The 17,123-nt window shown below is 36.4% G+C and overlaps 1 long non-coding RNA gene across 1 annotated transcript in view; it reads right to left on the bottom strand.

Moving 5' to 3' along the window:
- Positions 1 to 5,320, bottom strand: part of LOC107984373 (uncharacterized) — a 69,120-nt gene extending 63,800 nt beyond the window's left edge. The window contains exon 1 of the long non-coding RNA XR_001748081.2: positions 5,194 to 5,320. This is a non-coding gene — a long non-coding RNA (uncharacterized LOC107984373). The remainder of the gene's footprint in view (positions 1 to 5,193) is intronic.
- Positions 5,321 to 17,123: the final 11,803 nt, after the last annotated feature.

Below are 17,123 nucleotides of genomic sequence, written 5' to 3'. Positions count from 1 at the left end.
GTTGAGGCAGGAGAATCGCTTGAACCAGGAGGCAGAGGTTGCAGTGAGCTGAGATTATGCCACCGCACTCCAGCCTGGGCAACAGAGTGAGACTCTGTCTCAAAAATCAAACAAACAAAAAAATCTCAGTTTCTCTCCACCAGTGTGAAAGTAGGAGCTCAAACGCCCACATTATCTGTTAGAATTCTTTGGTTGAAAGCAACAGAAATGGACTCAGTATAGTTTAGGCAAAGGCAATGCATGGGAAAGATAATGAGGACTCACAGAAGCAAGGGGAAACTGGAGACTCAGGCTTGGATGCAGGCAGAAGCCAAGGCACTTGTAAAGGCAGAAACCACAACTGATTAGAACCTAAACCTACTTCTGTAATGAATTGGAATGACAACCATTATCAATCTTTTTAAATCTCTGCTTAAGAAATTGTATTCAAGATGGTAGACTCCAACTGGCTTCATTTGTGTTGTGTGTCATCTTTTCATCAGACTGTAAACATGGGGAAAAGGTTAATTTCTCATATGAAGTGCGGAGAATGGTCATTGAGTAACCAAAATCAACATCTGACCTGTTTTGACCAACACAAGAGGCTGTTGGGAGTAGACATAAAACTGAAATTGCCAATGGTCCAGCAGCAATCATGAATCCACCCAACAAGTTGGGAAACTCTGAGATGGAAATGGAGTTAGGGGATCAGACTCTTCCCAAATTTTACTCAGAAGGGTACAATACAGGACAATAATAATGTTGCCCTCAATGTAAAGGAAAGAGTCATTTTCCACAAACCACTTTACTCTATGCTGATAGAAAAATAGCATAAATACTAGCATTCTTATAAGACATTTAATTTTGAATCTACATTTGATGATAATCCAGGAAAATTATTGAACCTGGGCCCTCCTCACTACATTGGGCTGATTTAGCGAATGATCTGTTAATGAGTTGTTAATCACTTATTCAAATTGGGAGGGTTGGGTGATTGAGCAGGTGCTGAACCTGGAGGAAGAATCTGCTGCAATAATACCTCGCAATTTCTATTTCTCTGAGGGAAGGCTCTTCTTGCTTGAATTCCTTATTTTTTTTCTTCCACTTTCTAGCAGAATCTCAAGCAAAATTGTCTCCTGATGTGTCCTGAAATTCTGGTGGCCAGAGTCTAGCCTTGAATGTTACATGTTGTTTGCTAATGCAGACAGTAATTATAGTACAGCAGCAGTTTGGCCATTTCAACTGAAAAGCCATATAACTTCAGAAAAGCAATTACTGATGTATCAATACATCTTCTGGCAACAACAAACTATAAAACTCTAAACAATTGTATGAAATTGTATAGTATATGAAAATATGTTTACAGGCACTATCTCATTTGATCAGATACAACAACCTCATGACATGAGAAGATGAGGAATTACTTTTCAGGTGATGCAATGGAGGATTAGAGGAGTTAAGAAACTTTGCCCAGGTCACTCAACTTGAAAGGAACAGAGCTGAATTTCAATCCAGATGTTATTGACTCCAAATTCTATGTACTCCGTGTGGGTCATGTTGTCTCTCCTAGAATCTGAAGTAAACATTTTAAAAGATAAGGAAATTGATGTAATTTATTTCACTCATGAACCATATAAATTTTGCTTCTAAATTAGTGTTCATTAAACTCTGGACAGGAGAACACTTCCTTCAGAAATACTTGGGAGGTTGGTTAACATGCAATTACAACAAAAACAAAAATTGACAAGTGGGACCTAATTAAACTAAAGAACTTCTGCACAGCAAAAGAAACTATCAACAGAGTAAACAGACAACCTACAGAATGGAAGAAAATATTCACAAACTATGCATCTGACAAAGTTCTACTATGCAGAATATATAAGGAACCTACACAATTCAACAAGCAAAAAACAAATCACCCATTAAAAAGCGGGCAAAGGACACAGACACTTCTCAAAAGAAGGCATATGCACAATGAACGAACATGAAAAAATGCTCATCATCACTAATCATCAGAGAAATGAAAATTAACACCACAATAAGATACCATCTCGCACCAGTCAGAATGACAATTATTAAAAAGTCTAAAAACAATAGATGATGGTGAGGCTGCAGAGAAAAAGGAAGGCTGATACACTGTTGGTGGGAGTGCAAATTAGTTCAACCACCGTGGAAAGCAGTTTGAAGATTTCTCAAAGAACTTAAAACAGAGCTACTATTGAACCCAGCAATCCTATCACTGGCTATATACCCAAAGGAAAAGAAATCATTATATCAGAAAGACAATGCATGCTTATGTTAATCGCTGCACTACCACAATAGCAAAGACATGGAATCAACCTGGGTGTGCATCAATGGTGGATTGGATAAAAAAAAAAAAGTGGTCTATATACACCATGGATTACTGCATGCAGCCATAAAACAGAATGAAATAATGTCTTTTGCAGCAACATGGATGCAGCTGGAGGCAATTATCCTAAGCGAATTAATGCAGGGACAGAAAACAAAATATCACATGTTCTCATTTATAAGTGGGAGCTAAACATTGAGCACACATGGTCATAAACATGGGAACAATAGACACTGGGGACCGCTAAGGAAGCGGGGGAAGACGGATTCAAAAACTACCTGTTGGGTACTATGCTCGTTACCTCGGTCCAACATACCCGTGTAATTGGGTACTATGCTCATTACCTCGGTCCAACATACCCGTGTAACCATCCTACGCATGTACCTCCTGTATCTAAAATAAAGAATTAAAATTATTAATGCAGATTTCTGCGCTCCATCCTGATCTATCAAACCAGAATCTCTGTGAGTAGGTTCCATGAATTTGTATTTTACACACTCCCCAAGTAGTGTTTATGTACACTAAAGTTTGACAGTTTTAGTCTCTCACTGATTTGCCTTACCTATTACTATGGCCAACACATTTAATAAGATTAATGACCTAACCTCTCTGCCTACAGTATATGAGAAGTATAACATTAGAAGATGAAATGGGAAAGAAAAGGAAAAGCTCTTTGAAGGTAGCACACGTATCAGGAGAGGTGATATTTGACAAACTGCTATTGAGAAATAGGAAAGAAACACTAAAAAATAGATGTAGACCTCTATTTACCTCAGCAAAACAAATCATAGAAATTACTTATGCCCATCCTGAGTCACAAAAAGAGTTTAAATTTTATTCAGTGCCCTTTTTCTGTTAATACCAGGAAAGGAATAATAAATGTTTAAAGGATTTTGAAAAACAACTTTAGATTAAAACTTATTCTGGCACTTGTGCAGATAATTTTTATGTTTGACAGCTCCTTGAAGTTTTGTTTTGTTTTGTTTTGTTTTGTTTTTTTGAACATTTGACTGTAAGTTAAATTACCAAGGCTCAAACCTCACCCCTGATGACAAGGGATTTTGTAAACATGGGCAAGTTTCTTAATCTCAGTTTGCTCACAACTGTGCAATGACAGAAGTTGTGAGGATGAAGTAAAATAATGAATGTGAGCCTCGTGCATATGGAAAAGCTCTGTATGAGTGTGAGGTATAATTATCGTCTGAATATTTTTGTATGACACTTTGTCTCTGATCATTCTGGATTAATAAGGCATCATTGCATTCTATTTAGCAGCTGGCATATGAATGCAGAATAACCTATTAAATAAATAGTGTTATGAGTCACATGAAACAATTCACCCACATATTCATGTTCCCGACCTCTGTTCCTAGTTGAAATTAGTGACCTGGTACTAAAACCCCTTCACTTACAAGTTTTCTTATTTTCAGGATGGGGCTGTGAGTTCTTACTAAGTGTCTGTCAAAAGTATGTCACAAGGATACTGGAGAATGTCTTGGAAAACTGAATTATTTGGTTATTCCTATTTTCTAGGTGTAAAATAGTATAAGGCATGAAAAATTATTTTCATTTAAGGGGGTGGTCATCAGAGATTGTAGGTGACCCCAGACTACTTGTATAATTACATTTTTTAATTAAACATTAAAATTCTTTAAAAAATCATTCCATTGAGAAGTTTTATGGAAGACTTTCAGTTGGGTTAAGTTGGGGAAATGATAAGACTGTGGTTGTTATTGTTTTGGTTATTTGCTTTACTCTTGTTTTTTGGTGTATTTTTCTTTTCCTGATTCAATTATTTTTCAAATTATTTGCCTGAAAGAATCTAACTAAGTCAGAGCGTTTAAAAAGATGAACAATATTTTGTAATCTTTTATTTTTCTGCTGAGGCCTAAATTTTCTCATTTTCTAGAGAAACAAAAAGGATGCTTGAGGCCTACTAAGCATCAATTTTTGTTTAAAAAAATGGAAAATTTTTAAATCAAGGTTAAAATGGGTAAACCTTTCACTGCAACAATATGTGTTGGTTTATTCCTTTTCTTAACTCCTTGTTGACAAATGAAATTCAAAGGAACAAGAGAGCCGCATTTTCTAATAAGCAATTTGTGTTTACAAATGCTTGTCTGATATACATTTGCCAGATTTATTAAACTCATGGTTTTAAGATACCAATTGGTTGAATTTTATTTTCCCCAAGGACCAGAAGGGAGAGATTCTTTTATTCTTTAATCATATCATCCAACAACATTCACATGAAACCATCTTGAAAATGTCTTTAATACTACAAGTATGAATATTTGATCCCAGCCAAGGAATTAAAATTTGCCTTTAAATTATTTTTCAGGACCATAGATTCCTTTTAGACAAATAGGAACCAGAATTCTAAGAGGTTAACCAAGATCCCCAAACAATACCACTTTAAAGTATGGAAAAGGGCTTGGATAAGGGACATTGTTCTCCTCAGTGTTCGAAAATTCTGCTAATCCCCATCCTTCAAAGATAAATGCATTCATTACAGTAATCGGAGAAAGGGACATAGTAAAATAAATGAAAGTTATTAAAGGAAGGGAGATGGATGGCAATTGAGGCAGCCGTTTGTTTTGCCACCACCAAATTCATTTCCAGAAAAAAAACCCTTATCAATTTCTAGGGAATGGTTTGTTCTGTCAAGGTGGATGCAGTGTTAATGTTCTTTACAGCTCTCTCAGAGCCAGTGCAGTGACACCAGTCTAAATAAGAGAAAAGGGAAGGCTTAATCACACTTGTCACTGACCAGTTATTAACATTTTCCTACAAGGGCATTAGAGGAAAAATTCTGAGAGGTCAATTTGTATTTCAAGAGTGGAGGCAAAAGAGAGAAAACTTACTTGAAAACAATGTGCTTATGGCAAGAGCAGGTGTGTTAAGTCCACTTCAAGTTGGCAGGCCTTTATTAAGAATCTTCTGTGTTACAGACAACATTCCAGGTCCTCTGTTATTCAAGGAGTTTATTGTCTAGTAGGAAAAACCGTAAAGAAAAAAAATAAATTCAACAAACATTTGTCAAAGCAATTTGAATAGACATATACACAAGCTACAAAGGAGGGATTGATGAATTCTTCCTGGAAAACTAAAAACAAGGAAAGGTTTGAGCTAGATGCTTGACTGTAGGAGAGAAAATGTCTCACAGGAGAGAGAAAGGGGAAGTTCCAGACAGAGAATATGCCTGAGCAAACACTCAGGGATTAAAAAGTAGCATGGTAAATTCTGGAATACATGGGTCCTATATTGATAAAGCATAACATTCCTGATGGAAGGAAAGAAGAGATTTGGGAACAAATGGCACCCTATTAAGCAGAACCTTGTGTTGGGAAGGCTGTAACAGGCATTTTAAGAGCAATTGTATGATCAAACTGACTTATGTAAAGTTTATTCAAGAAGTGTTTTAGAGCACGAGTTAAAAGGGATCAAGAGTGGAGACCTGGAGGCTGGTTAGGAGAATATGGCAAGATATGCAAATGAGAGATATGGTGATCTAAATTAAGACAGTAGAGGTATAATCAAGAATAGAAATAACGATAGATGTTGAGTGTATTTTTAATAATGTCTGGATTTTGACGTTGTTTTGACATAGGATAGGTGACTTATTAGATGTAGACTGATTGCCTACCTATTTCAAAGTGACCCCTGAATCAAAATCTGCTCTATTGTGTCAGCATCACATAATCCTGTGTAATCCCTTACTCTTCTCTCAGGCTCCCATTTACAAACCATTCTGCTGTACCCTCTGAAACTGTTCATACTGCTGTGTGTGTGTGTATGTGCCATATACTAACTACCTTCTTGTCTTGGTTGGCACTTCATCTCCCTTGATGCCTTTGTAAATGATACATGATTATTTTCTCACATCTATTTTAACTCTAGATAAAGAAGTACAGATACTGTCCTTCTGAATCCCAGTGGCATCTTTTTGCTCCCCCTATTAAAACTAAACTGCCTCCTTTGAAGTTTCTACACTTAGAGTGCACTGTTCTCTAAATATTACCTATTGACCTCCAATTTATTTCTCTTCAGTAATCAAGTAGTCTGTCCCATACACTTTCAGTCATTAAATATTCTATCCCATTCTCTTTATAGTCAACCCAGGCTCTGCCAGAATTCTAGCATCAACTCCCATTACCTCCAATTCCCCAAGAATGATTTATTGAACACTTTAGTTCACTTCTTTAGCCTCTTCACCTACAAATGATCCTCTCTAATCCACTCAAGTTTATTCCTTGAACTTGGTTATATGGTAGACTTCTCCACATTGCAAAATCAATCCCTAAGTCAAGCATCCACTTCTCTAATCAAAACTTGTTTCTTCCATTTTGCTTATTAAATTACTCCCATTTCAACCTTACAGTCATCTACACTCCACTCTTCACTTTTTATCTTAGGAATCCAGAATATGTCATTCAAGTAACACTGACTATAAAACCTAAACTCATTTTTTCTTCAATGTTTTGCCTCTTGTCTCTTTCAAACCCCTAACACTGAAAGACCCCAAGCAAATGTGTTCTCCATTCCTGCAACAGAGTTGCTGAGCACAAATAGAAAAAAAAGAAAAAAGAAAACACCCAACATTACAACCCCATGTTCAAGCCAAGATGAGTTCTCAACATTGACTATCAAGACTTCTGCTCCTCTATTCAACTCTTGCTCTCACTCTCCAAGTTTCTACCTCTGTTGCAAAGAGAAAATAGAAGCTAACAGAAAGGAACATTTTCGTCTTCCCATTCTCAGACATAATAATTTTCCATCCTCTAAAATCCTTCCTTTCTTCCTCTTCCGCTGCAGGATGAGGCTTGTCCAAGTTCCTGCAACATATGCTTCAATTCCATCCCTTCTGACCATCTGAAAAAATTAACCCTATTTTTAGCCCTTCTTTCTGCAACAGTTAACCTCTCCTCCTCGAATTCTTCCACTAACTTTTAATTAAGTTGAATTTACTCCAGTGTAAACAACAAATTAGAAACGAAATACAATAAAACCCTCTCTTGTCTCCAACACTTATCTCCAGCTACAGTGTTGCCTTTATCCTCCTCTTGAAAAACATATCAAAAAGATGTTTAAAATCCTTATATATAGTTTCTTCATGTCTCATCCAATCCTCAAGCCACTTCCATTTGACTATAATTCTAACCCTCAACCCTCCACTGAAACAGCTTGCACTAAGAAAACCAATGATCTTCAAGTTGTTAAATCCAAAGAAGAGTGCTCAGTCCTGCTCTTAATTGATCACAGTTTAAAAACAGAAACTCCTTCATCTTTAACTTCTGTGAAATCTGTGCTGTTTTTTCACCTACTCCTCTAGCTGTTTGATTTCTTTTTCCTTGGCACGTTCAGCTTACTTTTCTGGTACAGTAAATGTTAGAATTACCGAAGACTCAGTCAGAGGCTGGCTTTTCCTCTGAACGGTTCTTGTGTCTCCACACAAGGGGTTAGCCAGGTTTTTTTGTAAAGAGCCAAATTGTGAATATTTTAGGCTTTGTGGGACATACAGTCTCTGTTGCAACCACTCAAATCTACTGTTGTAGAATGAAAGCTGCCCCAGACAATATGTACATTGATAGGCATGGCTGTGTTCCAATGAAACTGTATTCACAAAATCAATCAGCATGCCCAATTTGTCCCAGGACATTTGCCGGACCCTGTTCTAGATAATATCTTCCATATCCATGGCTTTAATTTCTACCTAGAGATGAATCAAAAATCATCCATATCCATCCATGACTTCTCCCCTAAGTTTCAGACTGACAAGTGACATTTCCACTGGAACAAGTAAAAGACACCACAAACTCAACCAAAGTTCATATAATTAAAATAAGAGCCCACAAGGCACTTTACAAGGGCCCGCAAGGTCCTATACAATATGGACACCCACTCATTAATTTCAGACACGATTCCTACTATTCTCTCCCTCACTCACTCCATTCAATTCCCACAGCCTTCTTGCTGTTGCCTGGACATAAACATGTCAATCAAGCTTTTGCTCCAGGGTCTTTGTACTGGGTTTTCCCTCTGTCTGAATACTCCACCCTCAGATGTTCACATCACTAGCTAATTTACTTTCTTCAAATCTTTGCTTAAACATGACTTTCTCCATGAAGACTACTATAACTACACTATTTAACATTGTATCCTCCTCACTTTGATGGCTTCAATCCTTCTTATCCTTCTATATTTCTATTTCCATTGCAACCACTTTACAGGACACTATATGATTTACTTATTTATGGTACTTAATTTTTGTTGTCCACCTCCTATCACAAGAGTGTAAGCTCCAAGAGGACAGTGATGGTTTGTCTGTTGTTTTCGTTGATATATCTCAAGAGCCTAGACAAATGCCTGGTACTTGAGCTGACTTAATAAATATAATAAGAACGAACACCTAAAAGTATCTAAAGCCAAACTCACACTGCTCTCACTTCATATTCCCCATGTAACAAAAATAAAACAAATACAAACAAATACAATCAAAAACAAAACAACAAAAAACCTGGTCTTCTTCTAATGTTAGTCATTCTTGCCTTCACTTCCCATAGCCAGTCTTTCAAACATTCTTTTCATTTTGCACTAAAAAATTTTGGGGGGATTCATTCACGTCTTTTTTTCCCCCTGAATTTTTGTTCACTGCCCTGTCTAAGGAGCCACCACCTCTCACTTGAATTAATGAGATAGACTTCTAACTGGTCCTCTCATTTACTTCAGAATTTTTCCAAAGTCATTATCCATTCTGTAGCTAACTGTATAATTTTCAATATAGAACATTTTTAAATCTCTGTGCCCTCTCCATGCCACTCCTGCTTAAAACTAACCTTTAGTAGAGGGGCAGAGCAAGACGGGTGAATAGTAGCTGCCACCAATCATCCCTACCCACCCCCCAGAAACCAAATTTTAACAACTAACTACATACAAAAAAGTACCATAATAAGAATCAAAAATCAGATACTAGTTTGGCCACACTGGGGTAGAGCACCAAGCAGGCGTTTTGGGTCCCCACATCTAAGTAGACTCTTGGATAGCATTTCTGGACATGCCCTGGGCCAAAGGAGAGCCCACTGCCCTGAAGGGTGAGTCTCAGGCCCACCACCATTCACCACAAGCTGACTGAAGAGCCCTTGAGCTTTATGTGAACATTGGTGGTGGTCTGCCAGAACTCCCCATGGGCCTGTGGTGGTGGCCACCAGGATAGGTTTCTCTGCATATGGAAAGGGGAGGGAAGATCAGAGAAAACTTTTTCTTGTGGTTTGAGGCCAACTTAGCTGAAGTAGAATAGAACACTAGGTAGATTTCCAAGGTTTTTGACTCCAGTCCCTAGCTCCCAGATAGCAACTGTGGACCAACTTGGGGACTGAAGGAACTTGCTGCCCTGAAGGGAGGAGCCCTAGGACCTATAGTAAACATAGGTGGTAGCCAGGTAGTGGTTATGTGGGTTTTGAGTGAGATCCACTGCTGTGCTGGCTTCAGGCCTGACCCAGTACAATCTCAGTGCTGGTGGTCACAGTGGTACTTGCATCACTCCACCTCTAGCTCCAGGCAGCACAGCAGAGAGAAAGACTCCCTTTTTTAGGAAAAAATAAGGAAAGAGAACAAGATTCTCTGCCTGGTAATCCAGAGCATTTTTCTGGATTGGATATTATCCAAGACCATCAGGGTGGTAATTCTATGAGTCTACAAGAACTACAGTACTATTGGGCTTGGGTCTCAAGTCCCTTTGAATACGTGGAAAGCCTTCCCCAGAAAAACAGGTATAAATAAGCCCAGACTGTGAAGATTATAATAAATACCTTACTCTTCAAAGTCCAGACACAAACAAACCTCCACAAGCATCAAAATTATCCAGGAAAACATGACCTCACCAAATGAACTGAATAATACCAAGGGCCAAACCTGGAAACACAGAGATATGTCACCTTTCAGAGAGAGAATTCAAATTAGCTGCTTTGAGAAAAGAAACTCAAAGCAATTTAAGATAGCACATAGAAGGAACTCAGAATTTTATCAGATAAATTTAACAAAGAGATTGAAATAAAAAGAATCAAAGAAAAATTCTAGAATGAAAATATGCAACTAAAATACTGAAGAATGTATCAGACTCTCTTAACAGGAGAATTAATCAGGCAGAAGATAGAATTAGTGAGCTTGAAGACATGCTATTTGAAAATACACAGAAGGGACAAAAGAAAAAAAAAGAATAAAAAAGGATGAAGCCAACATACAAGATTTGGAAAATAGCCTCAAAAGGGCAAATCCGAGTTATTGGCTTTAAAGAGGAGACAGAGAAAGACATAGGGGTAGAAAGTTTATTCAAAGGGATAATATAAAAGGACTTCTAAAACCTAGAGAAAGATATCAATATTCAAATACAAAAAGATTATATAACACCAAGAAGATTGAGTCCAAAGAAGACTACCTCAAGTCATTTAAAAACCAAACTCCCAAAGGCAAAGGATAATGAAAAGATTAGAAAAGCTGCAAAAGAAAAGAAACAAATAACATACAAGTGTTCCAATAAGTTTGGCAGCAGACTTTTCAGTACAAACTTCATAGGCCAAGAGAGAGTAGCATGACAAATTTTAAGTGCTGAAGGGAAAAAGCTTTCACCCTAGAATAGTATATCTGGCAAAAATATCCTTCAAGCATGAAGAATAAATAAAGACTTTTTTAGACAAAAAAAAAAAGCTGAGAAATTTTATCAACATCAGGCCTCTCTTACCAAAAATGCTAAAGGAAGTTGTTCAGTCAGAAAAAATATGTAAATGGGCAATAAGAAATCATCTTGAAGGTACAAAACTCACTGGTAATAGTAAGCCCACAGAAAAACACAGAACATTATAAATTTGTATTTGTGGTGTATAAACTACTCTAATCTTAAGTAGAAAGACTAAGTTGATAAACCAATCAAAAATAATAACTACAACAACTTTTCAAGACATAGAGAATACAATAAGACATGAAGAGACAAAAAACAAGAAGTTGAAAAGTGGACTAACAGAGTTAAATTGTAAAGTTTTTATTAATTTTCTTTTAGCTGGTTTGTTTTTGCAACCAGTGTTAAGCTGTCATCAGTTCAAAATAATGGTTGTAAGTTAGTATTTGCAAGCCTCATGATAACCTCAAATCGAGAAACATACAGTGAATACACAAAAAATAAAATCATACTGCCAGAAAAAAATCACCTTCATTAAAAGGAAGACAGGAAGAAAGGAAAGAAGGAAGAGAAGACCACAAAACAATCAGAAAATAAATAACAAACTGGAGAGAGTAAGTCCTTACTTATGAATACTAGCACTGATTGCAAATGAAATAAACTCTCCAATCAAGACACAGAGTGCTTGAATGGATTAAAAAACAAAAAATACCCAATGATCTGTTGCCCACAAGAAACACACTTCACCTATAAAGATACATGTAGACTGATAAAAAGATGGAAAAAGATACTCCATGCCAATGGAAAATAAAAAGTACCAGGAGTAGCTATAATTATATCAGGCAGAATAGATTTTAAGACAAAAACTGTAAGAAGAAACAGGAAAGGGCATTTCATAATGATACAGTATTCAGTTTAGCAAGAAGATACAACAAGTATAAATATATATGCTCCCAAAGCCAGAGCACCTAGATAGATAATGCAAATATTATTCCAGCTAAAGAAAGGGATAGGCTTCAATACAATAATAGCTGGAGACTTCAACATTTCTCTTTTAGCATTGAACAGGTCTTCCAAACAGAAAATCAACAAAGAAACATCAGACTTAATCTCCACTATAGAACAAATTGACCCAATAGATATTTACAGAATATTTCACCCAACAGCCGCAGAACGCACATTCTTCTTCTCAGCACATGGATCATTCTAAAGGACAGACGTTATGTTAGGTAACAAAACAAGTCTTAAAACATTCAAAAAATTGAAATAATATCAAGCATCTTCTCTAACTGCAATAGAACAAAATTAGAAATCAATAACAAGAGGAATTTTGGAAGCTATACAAACACACAGAAATTAAACAATATGCTCCAGAACAACCACTGGGTCAATGAAAAAATTAAGAAGGTAATTGAAAAATTTCTTGAAACAAATGATAATAGAAACATAACATACCAAAACCTACGGGATACAGCAAAAGCAGTAGTGAGAGACGAAATTATAGCTATAAGTGCCTACATCAAAAAAAAAGAAAAACTTCAAATAAATAACCTAACAATTCATCTTAAAGAACTAGAAAAGAAAGAGGAAAGCAAACCCAGATTTAGTAGAAGAAAAAACATAATAAAGAACAAAGCAGAAATAAATGAAATTGAAATTAAAAATATATAAAAGAACAATGAAACAAAAAGCTGATTTTTTGAAAAGCTAAAGAAAATTGACAAACCTTTTGCCATAGTAACTTAAAAAAAGAGAGAGAAGATCCAGATAAATAAAATCAGAAATGAAAAAGGAGAAATTCCAACTGATACTGCAGAAATCCAAAGGGCTATTAGTGGCTGCTATGAGTAACTACATGCCAATAAATTGGAAAATCTAGAAGAAATTGACAAATTCCTAGATACATACAACTGACCAAGATTGAATCAGGAAGAAACTCAAAATCTGAACAGACCAATAACAAGTAACAAGATTGAGGCCATAATAAAAAGTTTCCCAGAAAAGAAAAACTGAAGACCTGATGGCTTCACTGCTGAATTCTACCAAACATTTAAAGAACTAATGCCAGTCCTTCTCAAACTATTTCAAAAAATAGAAGAGGGGCTACTTCCAAACTCATTCTACAAGGCCAGTATTACCCTCATACCAAAACCAGACAAAGACATATTATAAAGAGAAAACTACAAGCCAATATCTCTGATGAATACTCATCCAAAAATCCTCAACAAAATGCTAGCAAACTGAATTCAACAGTACATCAGAAAGATCGTTTATCATGACAAGTGGGATTTACCTCTGAGATGCAAGAATGGCTCAAAATATGCAAATCAGTCAACATGATACATCATATCAACAGAATGAAGAATAAAAACTATATGAGCATTTCAATTGATGCTGAAAAGGTATTTGATAAAATGCAATATCCTTTTATGATAAAAAAACTCAAAAAACTGGATATAGAGGGAATATACCTCAATATAATAAAAGCCATTTATATGACAGACCAACAGTTACTATCATACTGAATGGGAAAAAAATGAAAGCCTTTCCTCTGTGACCTGGAACACAACAAGGATGCCCACTTTCACCATTGTTATTCAACATAGTACTGGAAGTCCTAGATAGGGCAATTGGACAAGAAAAAAAAAGGCACAAAATTGGAAAGGAAGAAGTCAAGTTATCCTTGTTAACAGATGATATGATCTTATATTTGGAAAAACCTAAAGACTCTACCCAAACCATATTAGAATTGATAAACAAATTTAGTAAAGTTGCAGGACAAAAAATCAACATACAAACAAAAATCAGTAGCATTTCTATATGCCAACTCTGAGCAATCTGAAAAGGAAATTTAAAAAGTAATCCCATTTACAATAGCCACAAAAAGTTAAATACCTAGGAATTAACTTAGCCAGTGAAGTGAAAGATCTCTGCAATGAAAACTAAAAAACACTGATGAAAGAAATTGAAGAGGACGCCAAAAAAGGAAAGATATTCCATGATAATGGATTGGAAGAATCAATATCATTAAAATGGCCATACTACCCAAAGAAAATGTATCTATACATATAAACAATGTATCTATAAATATAGATACATTGCAATTCCTATCAAAATAACAATGACATTCTTCAAAGAAATAAAACAAATCCTAAAATTTATATAAAACCATAAAAGACCCAGAATAGCCAAAGCCATTCTGAGCAAAAAGACCAATACCAGAGGAAGGACATTCCTGACTTCAAATTATACCTCAGAGCTATAGTAACCCAAACAGCATGATACTGGCATAAAAACAGACGCATAGGCCAATGGAACTGAATAGAGAACCTAGAAACAAATCCATACACCTACAGTGAACTTGTTGTTGACAAAGGTGCAAAGAGCATACATTGAGGAAAATACAGTCTCTTCAATAAATTGTGCTGAGAAAACTGTATATCCTTATGCAGAAAAATGAAAGCAGACATCTATCTCTTGCCATATACAAAAATTCAATCAAAATGGATTAAAGACTTCAATCTAAGACCTCAAACTATGAAACTATTACATGAAAACACTGGAGAAATTTTCCAGGACATTAGCCCGGGCAAAAATTTCTTGAGTGATACCCGACAACTACAGGCAACCAAAGCAAAAATGGACAAATGGGATCACTTCAAGTTAAAAACCTTCTGCACAGCAAAGGAAATAATCAGCAAAATAAAGAGACAACCCACAGAACGGGAGAACATATTTGCAAACTACCTATCTGACAAGAAAATAGTAACCAGAATATATAAGGAGCTCAAACAACTCTATGGGAAAAAATTCTAATAATCTGATTTTAAAATGGGCAAAAGATCTGAATAGACATTTCTCAAAAGAAGACATGCAAACAGGCATATGAAAAGGTGCTCAACATCATTGATCATCAGAGAAACGCAAATCAGTACTACAATGGGGTATTATCTCACTCCAGTTAAAATGGCTTTTATCCAAAAGACAGGCATTAACAAGTGCTGGTGGATAGAAGAAAAGGGAACTCTTGTACACTGTTGGTGGGAATGTAAATTAGTACAATCACTATGGAAAACACGTTGGAGGTTCCTTTGAAAACTAAAAATAGAGCTCCATATGATCTCAAAATCCTACCCCTGGATATACCCAAAAGAAGAAAATCAGTATGTCAAAGAGATATCTGCACTCCTATGTTTGTTGCAGTACTGTTCACAATAGCCAAGCTTTGGAAGCAACCTGTGTTCATCAACAGAGGAGTGGATAAAGCAAATATGGTACATATGCACAATGGAGTACTATCCGGCCATAAAAAGAATGAGATCCTGTCATTTGCAACAACATGGGTGGAACTGATGGTCACTATGGTAAGTTAAGTAAGCCAGGCACAGAAAGACAAACCGCATATTCTCACTGATTTATGGGAGCTAAAAATCAAAACAATGAATCTCACAGACAGAGAGAGTAGAAGGATGGTTACCAGTGGCTGGGAGGGTACTGGGGAGTGAGGTGTGGGGGCAGGGAAGTAGGAATGGTTAATGGGTACCAAAAGTAGTTACAATGAATGAATAAGACTTAGCATTTGATCGCACAAAGTGTGACTATAGTCAATAATAATCTAATTGGGCATTTTAAAATAACGAAAAGAATATAATTTGATTGTTTGTAAAAAAAAAAAAAAAAAGGCTAAATTATTGAGGGGATGGATATCCCCACTTACCCAGATGTGATTATCACACATTGCGTGTCTGTATCAAAACATCTCATGTACCCCATAAATATATACACCTCCTATACCCACAAAAATTCAATATAATTTTTATTAAAAAAAAAAACAAACAAAAGAAACAACTAACCTTTAGGTAAAGCCCAAAGTCCTATTCTCCCCCTTACCACTCCTGCCATTTCTAGAACTCTCTCTATTCTTGCTACAATTGGGCTTATTTTTGTTCCTGGTCTTCACCACGACTCCTCTCTCCCTGGGGCCTTTGGACATAGTATTGCTTCTGCTTGGAATGTCAGTCACTTTGTCTAACTCTTACACTTCTCTTAGGCCTAACCAAATCATCAGTTTCTTAATAAAACCTTCCTTGACTTTTATAAGTCAATTACCAACATTAAGTGTTTTCATAGTGCACATTTATTTTTGATTTCTGTAGACTTGTGTGTCTCCTCCACAGAGGCAGCAAACTCTATGGGATCAGAAATGGTCTCTCTTTCTCTCTCTGTCTGTCACACACACACACACACGCACACACACACCCCAGTGTAATCTGAGACATTCACATAGTGGTTGGCACATAGTGGGTCTTCATAATGTAAGGAAACAGGGTGAGAAAAAAACCCAGATTTTACTTTTGAGTAGTGCGATCTCCAATTAAGTTAAGGAAAACAGAGAAGATAACGCATTTGAGTTATAATTTGTCAAGTTAGAGAAGCTCATCTATTTGATTATTTATTATTTGGTTATGTAGGTATGGAACTTGGGACAAGTCAAGTCCATGAATAGAGATTTTAGAATTCTGTTGGGATTCGATGATATTCCCTAAGAGTGGGCTGGATGATAAAGAAATCAGGAGATGGCACACCAGTTTGAATGGTTATCATTAAAAAGTCAGGAAACAACAGGTGCTGGAGAGGATGTGGAGAAATGGGAACACTTTTACACTGTTGGTGGGACTGTAAACTAGTTCAACCATTGTGAAAGACAGTCTGGCAATTCCTCAAGGATATAGAAATAGAAATACCATTCAACCCAGCCACCCCATTACTGGGTATATACCCAAAGGATTATAAATCATGCTGCTATAAAGACACATGTACACGTATGTTTATTGCGGCACTATTCACAATAGGAAAGACTTGGAACCAACCCAAATGTCCATCAATGATGGACTGGATTAAGAAAATGTGGCACATATACACCATGGAATACTATGCAGCCATAAAAAAGGATGAGTTCATGTCGTTTGCAGGACATGGATGAAGCTGGAAACCATCATTCTGAGCAAACTATCACAAGGACAGAAAACCAAACACCGCATGTTCTCACTCATAGGTGGGAATTGAACAATGAGAACACCTGGACACAGGGTGGGGAACATCACACACCAGGGCCTGTCATAG

The sequence above is a fragment of the Homo sapiens genome, chromosome 11 (assembly GCF_000001405.40).
Source record: "Homo sapiens chromosome 11, GRCh38.p14 Primary Assembly".
Classification (NCBI taxonomy): domain Eukaryota; kingdom Metazoa; phylum Chordata; class Mammalia; order Primates; family Hominidae; genus Homo; species Homo sapiens.
This window is presented reverse-complemented; position numbering and strand designations above follow the sequence as displayed.